Here is a 15,803-nt window from a genome sequence, read left to right as displayed (position 1 = left end):
GGTGACTTCTTATTCACAGATAGATTTGAGAACCACTAAACTAGTTGTTTTTAAAATAACCTACTCTTTACCTATCTGGGTCCCTCATCATGTGCATGTTTGTGTGTATGTGTGTGTGTGTGTCTGTAATTAAGCTAAAATGTAACATTCATACAATAAAGTGTACAAGCTGGGAATCTTAAGTGTACCGTTTCATGATTTTTATGTATATATGCAACCCCCATAATTATCACCCAAATAAGGATGTAGATCACTTCTAATATCTCATAAGGCTCTCTAAAGCCCCCCCTGTATACACTCACCCAGAGATAGCCACTCTCTGCCTTCTATCGCCATAGATTAATTTCACCTGTTCTTGAACTTCATATAAATGGAGTCATACAACGTGAGTTCTTTTTGTCTCATTATGTTTTTCACTCAATATATTAGTTCATTCTTACACTACTATAAAGAGTTGGCTGAGACTGGGTAATTTATAAAGGAAAAAGTTTTAATTGACTCACAGTTCAGCATGGCTGAGGAAGCCTCAGGAAACTTACAATCATTGCAGAAGGCAAGGGAGAAGCAAGGCACCTTCTTCACAGGGCGCAGGAAGGAAATGAATGCAGGAGGAACTACTGAACTCTTATAAAACCATCAGATCTCATGAGAAGTCACTCACTGTCATGAGAACAGCAAGGAGGGAAACTGCCCCCTGATTCAATTACCTCTGTCTTGACATGTGGGGATTATGGAGATTACAATTCAAGATGAGATTTTGCATGGAGACACAGCCAAACCATATCACTCAACAAAATACCTGTGAGACCCATCCTTGTTGGTAAATGTACCAGTAGTATGGTTTTTTTGGGTTTTTTTTTTTTTTTTTTTTAATTGCTGGCCTTTCAGTTCTTGGCAAGAGCTGTCAATGGTCAAGTTCAATGCATACTCCAGCCCACCAATACATAGAAAAAATATGTATTTATATCAAACTGTTCATAAATTGTGCATATGATAATGGTGGTGAATCATAGCTGTGAACTTTGATATACAATACCGATAAGAGGCTTTTATTAGTGGAGTTGCCTACAGGCTGCTTAACAAAAACTAGAGTTTGAAATTTGACTTCAGGGATTATCACCTAGAAGGTTTGAGTTTGATGTAACAGTGAGTTTAACTCAGCTCTTTTTTAACCTCCTTCATTGAAATCTGTCTGGCCTGGGGTAAAGCCTTTTTTGCATATGGCTTAATAGAGCAATTTTAAACCAGAAAGAATAAAGAAAAAAAATATGCCAAACAAAAACAATGCTGATTTCTTTTCAAGCATATTGTGAGAGTAAATCATCAAAGCCATTCTCTGGGGTTCCAGGGAAGGCATCGTGCAACAAAGATATGAAAAGTCTCCTGTATTCTCTGGGGCCTGCTATATAGTTAAACAGAAACACACAAACCCACAGCAAACTCACTGGGCTCTTTGGAACACTGTAACCAAAAAAATGAACAGTAGTCTAAGATACTTTTTGTTTTACCCCTTGTAACAAACCATTGTTGCCCTTCTTGGGTTAGTCTGCATTTATTTGCAAACACAATTTTCATGTGCTAAAGTTCAGTCAATAAATAATCAATATGTTGTTATATTGACAATAAATTGTTGTGGATTTCTAATTTTTGCTCCTTAGCTTTATTGCATGTCTCACCATATCCATGGTGGTCTTTTGCAGTATGGAGGGGCACTGGAAAGCAAGTATGCAGAACTCAGATTCAAAGACCCTCCAAAAAGTCACACTTGGGGAAATTTTTAGTAGTACTTTTAATGATATTGACAACATTGGTAGCTATGACTTACAATGCTTTTTACCTAATTGATTTCATTTAATCTTCAGCAGCGTACTTCGAGACAGAGTAAGCCGTACTCATTTCACAGATGAAGAAACTGAAACTAAACGAAAGCATTTTATTTTTGCCTGATGTTTCCCAGTAAGTAGGTACTGTGCTCAGTATTCAACTTCACAATTTCTATTTCCAAATAGCATGTTGTTTTGCTTTTATACAATGAAATGTTTCTATTAAGAATAATTTTCAAAGCATGAGAGAAGAGAAACTCTGAATCATTCCCACATTAATATCAAAATCGTGTTTGTAGCTGTCCCACATTCCAGGCTCTTTGGCTATACTCACACATTCAGTGTGAACAGATATCCCCTGGAATGAAGGAAAAAAATTTCAGTTTTTTATCTTTCTCTACCAAGAGTCCATGTGCGGTTTTAAGTCACTTCTTAACTTCGCTCAGCTTCAATTGATCATTAGTAAATAAGCCTATTGCTCCTATACGGTCTTCAAGAGTCTTCATTAGCTTATGTTAGGTCCCTGTAGGGTGACTGTATAAGGAAAATATTTTATATGCAGAAATGTTAGGATGCTGCAGCAGATGCTTCTGGTGCATTGTATCTCATTGCCTTGGCCCACCTAATTTCTGCACAATGGGGGTGGGGCATGGGTCAGTGAAGTGTGCATCTTAGCCATGAAACATTGCCAAACTGCAAAACCCCAATGCTCCGGCCATTAACACCCTCAGGGTCAGCTCTCCACTAGGGTTTGAAGAGAGCCACTGGACAAATATTCCTGCACCTTCATCTTCCTATAAGTCTGGGGAATTTTCTACATAATTCTCAAATTCTCAGCGGGACTGAGCCCCAGATTTTTACAGCAGCAACCAGATGATTAATACACCCTTCTTGGCTTTTCTCTCTTTCCTATCCCACTTTCCACACATCCCTACTTTTGCCCCTGGGACTCACTTCCAAATAAATGACCTCCACTGATATTCTTGTCTCAGGTTTTGCTTTGTGGAGAACCCAAACCAAGACTTTAGGCTTTAGAGAAGTGTTACCATCTGAATGCAGAATTGGGTGGTATACAATATATTAGTAACTAATGTAGATGCAATTAACCATTTTAGGCTATTTCTTTACCATTCTCTGTAATACCTCACTGATAGTTCTCTATGTGTACCTGTGAAGTTTAGGGAGAGAGATGAGGATATGGCTTAATTAATGTGTGATGTGATCTTTTTGCTAAATGGGAGAAATTTTATGAAATCTTATTTGTAAGTAGAGAATATTAGATGTGCCCTTTCACATTTTCTAAAATTATAATCTCTCATTTAGTATCCCAACTCGTATGCTTGTCTTAACTAAATTGGTTTGAGCGTGAGGGGTGTTAAAGCAAAGATCTCCACCAGATTTCTCATAGAGTGATTTTCATTTGAAAACTGACAAATTTGACTACAATAATTTTCTACCTTATTCGTCAAGATAAGATTGATCGTGAGCCACAGAAACGTTCATCTAAACTGCCAAGTGTCCTGTTTTTTCTGGGCTTTTCCTGATTTTAGCTCTTAAAACCCCATTTCCTTGGAAAACTCTTCAGTCATGGGAAAAAAAGGACAGTTGGCCACTCTACAATGTCTCATCCATCTTGGTCTACATCGTTTGAACACCACTGTTTAGCTTATTTTGAGTAGTACACCCAACCCTCCTGTTGATTCAGGTCTTAGCATTGTCTGTCCTCTGTAAAATTACTCCATGGGAAACCGAGGGAAGAAGAGTTACCCTATATAGGGGAATGGTACTGAGTTTTCCAAAATAAATATGGAGGAGGCTTAGGTAGACAAATATGTTGTCCATGCTACTCTGCAAGGTACCTTTCTCTTTCACCCTTCAGATCTCATCATCAACATTTTTTGTTCCCCTCTTTTCCTTTACCATCTAAATAGGTCTTTCTTTCTCATTTTATATTCCAGCCTAACCCTCTCATTTTCTCAGCACCCCAAGAGACTCACACTTTCCTGTGCCATCTGCACTACCAGATTCAAATAAAAATATGCTCCAAGAAGCATGTTATTCCAAGAAAGAAATGCATAGATGCATTACAAACTACATATTACAATATGTTATGGAAATTTAAAGTGCCTCTTCTTTCCTTTGGCTCGTTGTTTTGATTAATGTTATTGGCTCTAAACATTTTAAATGCCCTTCTCTTCTTGATTCATGTAAAACATTTTTGTTTAGAGTGTCCGTGGCCATGAAATAGGCATTTTGAATATTCACCAGGGCCCTGTTTAGTGTCTAAAGTAGTTACCCACCACGGGTTTAAAATCCCACAAGAAATATTGTTAAACAAAAAGTTACTGACTGGCCATCTACTGAATCTTTTTAATTTCTCAGTTTAAGGTTGAAGTGGTAAAGTGCATAGAAACTCTACAAGATTTTCTTGACCAAGAAAGCCCTAACATTCCCTCAGCTTGGCTACAATTTAATCAGGTGTCCTCTCAGCTCTAGTCCCCTGATCTCCCTTTTCTTAGAGCATTTACTTTATAAAACTTGTAGTTGTAAAACCTTTCACTGTCCCTTTGATATAAAAAGCCTTGTAAAAGCATCTTGCCAGTTTTCCAACCCAGGAGTGTTTTTCTCAAGGCCCTGGGAACCATTTCTTTCAAATGTGATCATCAAGGAGGACAGGCCTCTATCTCCCAGTTCCTCTGGAAGGGAAGAAGCCTAATTTCCCAGTTGCAAAACTGCTTCACGTCATGAAGACACAAGAGGATTTGTTGATCTTGTGGGAAGGGGTTATATTTAATTTGGATAAAACCAATTAGCACACACAGATGACCTATGATCTTCCTCTCACCTCAGCTCTTAGGAACTCTTCATCTTTTGTTTTAGAGATATTTAGTTCAGACTCAGATCTGGCCTCTCTCCACTATTGTAACAGCCCTGAGTAAACTCTTCCTTGACTGTTAACTTTGTCAAGAGAAATTGGACTTTGACTATCTACAAAAATGCCACCAGCTAATAAAGGAACTGGAATTGTACTCTGGGGTAGCTTAAGGCAAAATGCCCAAGAAGACTTTGGATAAGTCTTTTCTAGGATACCTCATCTTCCCACCTCTTTCTACCTTCTTGGATTCACACATGGAAACACACTCACTTTACCAAATTTCTAAAATTGACCTGGTAATAACTAACTTATATATGGAAAGAACTTAACATGTGCCGAGCACTGCTATGAACACTTTACATATATCAACTTACTAGATCCTCAAACACTTCTATGATATAGGTGGTAGTTTATCCCCATTTCTCATATAAGAAAACTGAGGAATAGAAAGTTTAAATATCATGCGTAAGATCATACAGCTGGGATATGAATCCAGGTGGTTCTAGTTTCAGAGTTATTTATTCACATCTTTGAGTGCATATACCAATTATGGATATCACTGGCATTAATAGTCCCAGTTTTGCACACTTCCCTCTATTGATACCCTGTGGTACACCCTCCCATACTGATGCTAGGCTTGATCATGAGACTTGCTTTATGCAATAGAACAGAAGCAAGCTGGATGCAAGCAGAGACTTTAAGAAGTACTTATGCATTTCAGATTTTTCTCTTTTGTCTCCTGCTACTGATATAAAAATAACTCCAGGCTATCATGATGGAGAACTTAAGAAACAAAGAATAGGGACAATTTGCAATAGCTGAGATCATCCCAGATCAGCCAGTCTCCAGCAGACCCTTTAGCTAAATGCCAATGCATGAGCGAGCCCAGTCAAGATCAGCCAAGCTTGTACCATAGCAGAAAAACTCTACTGGGCAAACCATAGACCTGTAATAAATAATAAATAGTTGTTTTAAGTCTCCAAATTTTGGGGCCACTTGCTATCTAGTAACAGACACCTGATTAAACCACACAGTTTAAAATGCAATGTCCTCAAAAATCTGGTTCCATTGTTTTACCATACTTCTTGATTACATCCCAAGAGGACTCCCACATCCTGTCATTGTTTCAGTCGTTCCTACATGTGACTGACTCTCACTCTACCATCTTAACTTACAAAAATACTGATCAATCCTTTAAGGTTTTAGTAAGCTACTATTTCTTTGAAAGATCATCCATGCAACCCAAAGTGTTTTATTACTGCTTCTAATTCCAATAGCATCTATTGTCCTGACCTCTCCTCCTGTGTTCATGTCTTTTCTCACTGGCTATGATACAGAACACTTCAGAAGAAGGTCATGTTTTATTTATCTTTGGGTTTCCTACTATACCAGCCTGGTGCCTTAGAGTGGCTCAAAAGGCACTTGATAAGGTTTGATCAATCTCACCAATTTTATATATTAGTAGGGGTAGATAACTGCTGTAGCAAATCAAGTCCAAATTTAGGTCATTGACCAAAATAAGTGTTTACTATTTATTTGCCCATGTTATAGTTCAATGTGGGATGATTAGTTGAGCTGGGGAGGAGGGGTTGCTCTACATAGTTTGGAGATCCAGAATCTTGTCATTTTGTTGACCTACCTTTTTTCACTTCCTTGGAGTTCTCTTCATTATGGCCAGCATATGGAACACAAGAACACAGAAGGCTACCTGAATATTTTTGTGGGAAGGTCTGGAAGTGGTGCTTCTAGCTGTATCATCTCTATTTACAGCCTAGGATTCAATTACAAAGCCACACCTAACTGCAACGGAGCCTAGGAAACATACTCAGGCTGACAAGGAATGGTTAATCAATTAAAATCTCAGTGATTAAGATAGATGTTGTCATTTTTCAACTTAAAGTTAGAATAGAAGGTCTCCTCAGCATTAAAGTTGTGGGATAGAAAGTAATAGGATACAGAACAGACTCAATTTGGAAACAGGAGGAAAAACTTCTGTTTTTTTAAGGCAAAATGCCCAAAGAGACTTTGGAGAAGTCTCTTTCTAGGATACCTCATCTTCCCACCTCTTTCTACCTCCTAGGATACACATATGGAAACACATTCACTTTACCAAATTTAAAACTTAATTTTACCAAATTAAAAAAACTTCTACTAATTATATGAATGTAGTGATTTCCTTGGTTGTGGTTTCTTCATCTATACATAGTCCTCAGGCTGGGTAATTTCTAAGCTTCCTTCTGATTTCTGTCCTAATCGCCTATAATTCCACAGGCTTTTCATCTCTGCCTCTGTTACTTTCATTGCTTAATAGACAACTTTCTTTTTTCCTGGAGACTTTAACATGTTTCAATTCAAGAGTTTAAATGTCTTTGAATAGACATGTCTATTCTAATGACAACCATTCTAATTGAATGTCTATTCTAATGACAGTTATGGGATTACCAGCTGTGACAGACATTGATGTTCCCTGTCCATGTTCTGTTCACAGCGTCCCAGTTTCTGCCTGCTTTGCTGATAAATGACTGCATTCTGCACCTTTTTTCAGAGGTCCACTCTTGGGTTACTGGAGTTGCTTTTCCCATATTCACAGAGAACTGGAAGTCTCTGGGAGTTTATATCTCTCTGGGACAGTAGGAATCCCAGAATATTTGCTTTTATGCAAAATTTACTCTGAGATGTATGCTAGACTCCAGAGCTCCCACATGGGATCAGACTGAGACCGAGACTCTACCTGAAAGTGTATCCTTGCTTAGCCTCTTTTCCTTTCCTGTCCTTCTTTCCTCATCCAGTTTCTCCTGGGAGTGCTGCCTTAATAAATCATTTATAGCTGAATGAATCCTTGTCTCACAGCCTGCTTCTGTGGAACGTGCCTTAACATATAACCTTCCCCGATCATGTCAAACACCTACAAGCAAGACATGCCAGGTTCCCTGGAATCTTGCTTGCTTTTCTAGCTTTATCTCTTGCCCCTCTTCCCAGCTTATTCAGTGTCCCATCCTGAGCTATTTGCTCTTATTGCTGAGTTTCTGCATACACTCTTCTCATTGCCCCCAGCCACTCATTTGTTAAGATTCATCTCAAATATTCCAGTGTTGAAGAGCCTTAACAAATTCTCTTCCTTCCCCCATCCCCAACTCTAGGCAGGCAGGGTTTCTCACTTCTTTTGCAAAAATAATTATAGACTCTAACATAGCTCTTAAATAATACACAAATAGTGTGATGGTTAGGAGCCTAACCTCAGCAGAGGGGATCTTGGGCAAGCTATTTAACTTCTCTGGGCTATTTATTAAGAGTAAGAATCTAATTTAATAGTAAAAACCCATCGTCTTCATAAATCCAATATATGGTGTTTAGTAGAGTATGAAACAGATTATATATTCAGTGTTATTAGTATTGATATGAGAGATGAATTTGTTTGTCACCTTAGATTACAACTTGTGAGTACTAAATCTCATCTCTGTATCCCTGATGTCTAGCACAGTGCCTGGCACAGGGTAAACACCCGGTAGTTGATGAATCAATAAATATTATATAAGCATAGAGTACTAAGACCAACTTTCTGCTTTAAAATAAAGCTCATCTACATATAGAATCAAGAAACAAATTCCTAAAATTTATTGCAAATCTCAAAAGCAGAAAGTGTTATAAAAGTAAAAATTCTGAGGTCTGCTAAATCTTTTTATTCTCTCCAATATCTACCTTACTTTCATCCTCAAGCTAATGAAAGTTTTTACTTTTCTTTTTGAAAATATGGTCAACTATGTAAAGAGCATAAGGTCTTCTCTAAACCAATTAGTAAATCTGTGCTTCTTTTCCTTCTCTCTCCTTCCTTCGCTCCCCGCTCTCATTCCTCATTGTTTCAGAAATCCAGAGATGAGATGTGACTATGTATTTTTTCTTTTTCTCTTTTGGTTTTTGATGATTTTTAGAAACCTCTGTCCCTGAAAACCTTGACTCCTCAAAATGAAATTCTTCACTTTGAAGTGATGCTGGAAAAAAACATTCTTTTAATAAATAGATGCCATCAAAATTCTTTTCTTTGGGACTTTGTCTCCAGCTATTTTTGTGAAGAGCTTTCTATTTAGTAAGTCATTTTTTTGAAATCCTTGGAAGTTTTCTGAAAAATAACTCCTGGATTTTCAGTCTTTGTGAAAAGTTTCTAGACTTAAAATAGTTAGAAGCGTGATTTTAGTATATGAGAGAGATTAACTCATTAAATCATAGCCCTGTTTATCTCTGCTTAACATGTAGACTGTCTTAATAATATCCAGCGTGATGTCTACAATAATGATTTCAGATACTTGCCACCTTTTCCTCCAGTGGTCACAGTAGTAGCTAAAGATAGTCTTTTCTCTTCTTAATCCCCAGGGCATTTCACATGTTTGTCTTTTAACATACATCTCTCTCAATGTTGATCTGGAATTCTATTTGTATATTTTTTTCTCTTGTGAAGTCATAAGATCTCGCCAAAGTCTCACACTAAGTCTTGGTATAGTAGGAGCTTTAAAGTACTTGCTGAATAAATAAAAATAGCCACAGGGTGCTTGTGTGAAAGTAAATTAGTAAAAAAAACTCTAGATAATACATCCTTCATCTTTACAAGATAGCCTATAGATTCATCTGAACTCACACAACAATACTGATAATGTTAATGACCAAAACAGTAGAGCAGCCCTGTTCCAGATATGTGCAATTTATTTTTCCAAAGAACATAAAACCTATAACCTACTTTCTCAAAATATTTTAAGCATTTCCATGAAATTATGCAATGTAAAGATGAGAGAGCACAGGAAATGCTACACAAAACACATTTAAATCTGGCCCATATCCATAGTTCTCCCTTGACTCAGGGAACAAAACCAGCTTTGACTACAATACCTAATGCAAATGAATGGGAACTTCACCCTTCAGTCAGATCCTTAGGGGAGCATATTCATTTCCTTTTCTTCCCATTCCCTAATTAGAATCTCTTACCCAGTCACTCTGCCACCAGAATTCTTTGCCTGACTCTGTAGTAGAAGTAGAGTTATGTTTTTCATATCTACATATTGATTTCCTTTGGGCACCTGGCTGAAATTACAAAGAACTATCCTTGCTAGTTCATGCCCCTGTCGAGCATGAAATCAATTTTGTGACAATCTCAAAACCCTTTTCTGTCTATGGTTCCTCTATTCTATTCATTAGGGGTACAGCAAAAGTAGTTTTAAAGCAAAGATATTTTACTTAGTTTGAATATGCTGCTTGTAGATGGTTTAAATTTTTAAGTGAAATGAAGATTCAGAGCAACACAAAATTATGTAGGATTTGGCATACTATCTTACTTTTACACAGTGGAATAGCCTTCCTCTTTGTATAAAGAGTAGCTTTATGAATTCTTAGAATTCATGAAGAATTACCTGTTGAAGCAGAAAATACCTGTTTTACCAATTTATTTAAATAATTGGTAGCTATTCCAGGATATGTTAAAAACGTTGATATAACATCATTAATTGCACTTATAAATTTTCTTCATGATTAATGGATTAAAACAGTGAGTGTCAACTTCTTATAAAAATATGTCTTCAGTCAGATTTTCTAGAAGCAGAGCCTGAGGCAAGGGTTCTTGACCAAGCGACTTACTGAGCAAGAGCTCTCTGGATAACGGAAATAAAGGAAGCAGGACAGGGCAATGATGTGGAGCCAAGCAATGATGTGGTCTTAGCTGGAGTCCAGCCTAGGTCCCACAGGGTGCTCTGGAGCATGCGTGCTACCACAGAGTTGGTCCAACTGGAGAAAAGAGAGTCAACTTTTTTGTCTTCCTTACAGGTCAGTCATTAGCTCTGGGTTGTCCGCAAGGGGAGAACATAGAATCTCTCAGTTATTTCTAGGTGAGATGACTCTCATAGGCTGACAGGAACCCTCTGGAGAAGGAGGCAGCTGGGAGCTGTTAACAACTTCTGCTTGTAGCAGCAGGTATTGGTACTCTAACCCTGCAAAGTGGACCTGGGCAGAATAGCAACAATGTCTGCTACCCACACTTTCAGGACTAGCCTAATCCTGAAACAGGCATACCAGGATCATGAGAAAGATAAGCTCCTACCCTAGTTTTTAGAAACCAATCATGATAGGTCCATACCTGTGCTTGTCTAACACACAGTCCCTTGCTTCTTGTAGTTCCAGAGTACTTAAAATGTGAGAAGATTCTATTGAGATGTGCTGCAAGTGTTAAGTAAATAGTAAAATATCTTGTTAATTTTTTTATGTTGATTATATAGTGAAATAATTTTACATATTAGGTAAACACAAATACAGAATCAACTCTTCATAGACAGGTGAAATAACACCGAGCTTGAGTGAAGATAATTAGTAAACTGCCCTCTAGTAGTGAATGAAGACCATTTTATAAGATTAAAACTCCTTCAAAATGCCTTCTTTAAATGGCTTGCCCTTAAGTATGGTGAGTGTAAATGGAGGATGATGGAATGGCTCTCTGCCCTTAATCCACAATTTATCTGCATGTAAATAAAACCTTGAATGCAACGCAGAGCTTAAATTAATAGAGACTTATCAAGAAGTCAAGAGAAGTACAGTCCAGTGTTGATGCAGGTGCTCTACAATATCATCCAAAACCCAACACCTTTCACATTGAGTTACACTGATTCCTTAAAGTTGTTGGCCTATTCCTGCCTCACAGTCACAACATGGCTACCACACCACAGGCATCTCATCTGTGTTTCAGGGCAAAGGAAGAGAAGAGAGTAAAAGAACAGAGAAACATGCCAGCCAAAACTGTTTATTTTTATCAAGAAAACAAGCACTTTCCCAGGAGTTACACACACGTATTTATTCTTAGATCTCGAGAGAACTGGGTCACATTGCCACCCCTGAATCGATTACTAGCCATGGGAAATGAGATCATCATGATTTGTTTAGAACAGCACTGTCCATTAGAAATATCATGCAAGCCACATATGTACATTGTAAATAATTTAGTAGCCATATTTAAAAAGTAAAGAGAGGTGCAATAAATTTTAATGTTTTATTAATTATATTAATTATTGATGTATTCATATGATCTAGTATATCCAAAGTATTATTGTTTCATTACATAATCAACATAAAAATTATTAACAAGATATTTCACATTTACACTTGAAGTGCATCTCAGTGGAATCTATGCACATATTAAGTACTCTAGCACTACAAGAAGCAAGGGACGGTGTGTTGGACAAGCACAGGTCTAGACCTATCATGATTTGCCCCTGAAAACTAGGGTAGAAGCTTATATTTCTTGGGATCCTGGTGTGGCTGTATCTTGAGAAATCATGACTCTGAAATAAGATGAAAGGCGGCATAGAGGGCTGTCGATATTGGGTAGGGAAGAGACAATGTTTATTCCAGGGCCCATCTAGCATCTCTACTGACCTGTTTTAATGGATAAAGTCTCACCATTTCTAGATTTTTCTATGGTTGGCTTTTCTTAGTTAGAACTCATATTCTTGAGGGATATCACTGAATATGAATGCTTTTCGTGATATTATAGCTCTTCTCACATCTAATATCAGAATCCTGTAATAATGAGCCAGAAAAGAATGCATTTGGATGTATTTACATAATCTGCAGCATGGACCATTTAGTAAGAGCAGATTATAAGTGAGGTGCCGTGTACTGTAGGTGATGTGGGCTAAGGTGAGTGAGGAAATACCAGGGGAGCCTGAGCACATTGAGCTCCTATTGGGAAGAGCATATAGAACTAAGCAGTCAACTGGACATTGAGACTCTGAAATAAGAAAGGAGACAGAGCTTCCTATTTCATATTTTGCTTATATTCTGATTAGGTATTTATACTGAAAGAAGGCCAACCCCTTCAATGAGACCAAGGATGAGCTTTATGATATTCCACATTTTAGCAGATACTGTTCTTAGCCCATCCTGGAGGACATCTGCAGCTCTGGAGGTCAATTCCTGACCATGCAGGCAGCTTCCTACTCAAGCCTCCATGTCTACCTCTGTTTGAGGTCTTTTGGCAAATAAGCAGCTCTGGTTTAAAACGCTGAAAGTTCTGGGATATTAACGTCCCTCAGGGTTACCTTTTAACTAATTGGGCATATGAGTAAATAGATAAATACCCCTTCTTCTTCAGTTCTTGGGGGATCAATGATAAGCATACTTTGTACAATCTCTCTGAAGGTCTCAATAGGATTGAACCTCAGTTACCCACAGAAATGGCTTACTCATTAATCTCCCCTTCATTGGCCCTCCTTCTTCTTCCTTGTGCTTCTTCAAATCACATCACCAAATACGTCCCCACTCAAACCCTTATCTTGGTGTTTGCTTTTAGGTAAATTCTAAAATCAACACTTTGTACAAGGGATAATGTCTCAGTATAGTAGATTATATCTTGAAAATCATGACTTTTTAAATTTTTTACTAAATTATATTTTGAAGCCTAAAACTACTAGGCATACTTTCCTCACCCTACAGTCTCAAGAAATTCAAAAAATAGGCCATGCTTACAAAAGAATCATGTTATAAGTATTCACTTTTGAGTAATTTTTTTAAAGGTAGGAAGAACTGGTTAAAAATTCTTCTTAGTATCCAGGTGCTCTTTGTTTCACCCTACCAAATCTAGAATATGCATGCAAATAGGGTATGTGCTGTGCTGATCAATATGACAAGCATGATCCATACACGGCTAAATCAACATTATGTTAAATTTCAATTTCTTAGTTGCACTGGCCATACTTCAAGTACTCAATGGCCACTAGTGCTAATAGCTACTATATTGGACAGTGCAGAAAATCTCTAACGGACATCACTATGCTAAGGTCTCACCATTGGCAAATACAAGAACAATGCTTCCTCTTGTTCATGGTAGATAGGCTAATTAATCATGCCACACTTACCCTTGAGATTTTCTTTAGCTTCAGTTTTTCTAAAATCAAAACTCCAGATTGTCACTTATTGGCTTAAAAAAACAAAGGTTTAGTTCTTTCTTGGAAAAATTGTGAACGGTTCAGGTGACCCCCACAGTACAATCGTTCTCTTACAGAACGATTCTCTTACAGTGCTGAAGCACTCTGTAAGCTACCTCCATCAACTGGGGGCTCGAATAGTTTTTCTTAAAGGCAGGACTTGTTAAGAACAGAATGTTCTAGAGTATTTTAAACTGGCTACATGCTGGGAAGTATGAAGGGATATTTCTCCAGTCTTTACTGAGTACCCAGTAGTGCTCCTAGAGATAAAACTACAAAAGCCTAAGTGCCCTCTAAGGCTGGGTCCCCATGGCCTTTTTACCTCTCTGACCTATTCTCACCAAGCCTCCAGCAATTCATCAATGACAGTTATGGCTTTTCTACCCTGGTACTGGTTCTCATGAACAGCAGTTTCTCTTTGTGAATTTCTGCTCTGGTAAATTATAATTTTCTGTATCTGCCTGTCTGTTTCTTCAATTTTTAGGGCAGCAGTTTGTCCTGTGACCTCAATTCTCCGATAGCTAAGAAGAGTTGTTGATTTTCAGTTTCCAGTTTTTTACTTGTTAGGATGGAGTGACAGCTTCCAAGCTTCTTACCTGATGGACAGAAACCAAGATGCACTTTCTTTCTTTCCTTCTTTTTTTAATGAGTTTTATGTTTCTATTATAAGGTAAATGGACTGTGTTGCTTTCTGCCCTGCCCCTTTATTTTTCTTTTCCCACTCTGGACGTTCTGAGCTAAAACCCTCTCTACTATTCTGAATAAGAGTGGCTTCTTTTACTAATGTCTTCTTCCCTGTGGTTATTAACTTTCTCCACCCCAAGTGCATTGGGCCTAAAACTCATTACCTCTCAAATGTTCTCTTTACCCCACTTACAAAAGAAGCTGCTACAGCGACTTAGAGTCATTATGAATTCTTTCTTCATACAGTGATACATCACTTCATATCAAAGACTTATTAGGCGTATGCTGCAATTTCAGGTCAACAAAAAACAAAAACAGTGAGGAAATTGCCATGGCCATTTGAACTTTGATATCTGCTATTTATTTATTTGTATGTCCCCTGCTGGTCCAGTTCTCACAGTACAGTTTCCATATTCAAATTTTTATGACTTTGAAATAAAAAAGATATTGATTGGCTTGCCACACAAGGTGCAAGATGTTCCATTTGGTTATTTCTGGACAGCCAGGAGCAATGTCAATCTGTTCACTCTCTTCCTCCAAACCCTATTCTTCCCAAGTAAGGCTCTGTTGAAGAATCTTCTCTGTTAATTTACTGGAAGAAGGAATAAAACTCAGCTAGAGGTGATAGGTAATAGCAGATTGCTAAGCCTTCATTATCTGTAATTTCATAGCTTTGTACTGGATATTACTAGTAGTGTGAAACACCAAGAATCAGTCTGACTGTTTTTTGGGTTTTTTTTTTCTGTATCAATTTTCCCTACAATTGGCTTTTACATCAACTCATGAATAGTTAAAATATATTTGCCTCCTGCTTCCTCCTGGACATTTTTACAGACTTGCTGGCTTTAAGCAGTCACATTACAGCAAACCCAGTGTTGCCTTGCGAGGCCAGGGAACAAGCTCTCCTAGTTAATCACGTTGCCTGATTAATAGAGACTCACAGATTTTCAAATAATTAGGAAATACATCTAACAAACGTTCTGTGTTTAACAGAATCTAATTTTCTTTGATGACGCAGAGAGCATTTTTACATCTTGTGCTACTTAATCATCATTGCTAGGAAAATCAATTGCTAGCTAAGCAAGATTTCTAATTGATACATGCCGATAAAACAGCTTTTAGAAGTCAACACACCAAGCTCTGTTCTTTTCAGGAGTCTCTTATGTTCTCTACAGTTTGAACCACAGCTGCATGTGGTCCTCTGTGATATCCCAGGTGACGGCGTTATCTAGGGGAACTCATTTGTATCCAGTGTGCATCTGTGTTTTCATCTTCTTCCTGTTTCCCTTTGCTTGTTCAGCAAACATTTCCTGACTATCAGCTCTGTGTCTGGCACTCTCCTGGACCATGGGGGCACATGATTCCTGCTCTCATGGCGCTTAGATGCTAGGGAGGACAGACAGAAAAGTATTCATTCACCAAATGCACATGCCACAGAGCTATGAAGAAAATAAAACCAGGCCACTT

This window comes from Homo sapiens, chromosome 20 (genome assembly GCF_000001405.40).
Source record: "Homo sapiens chromosome 20, GRCh38.p14 Primary Assembly".
Classification (NCBI taxonomy): Eukaryota; Metazoa; Chordata; class Mammalia; order Primates; family Hominidae; genus Homo; species Homo sapiens.
The sequence above is the reverse complement of the archived record's forward strand: the minus strand, read 5'-3'. Positions refer to the sequence as shown.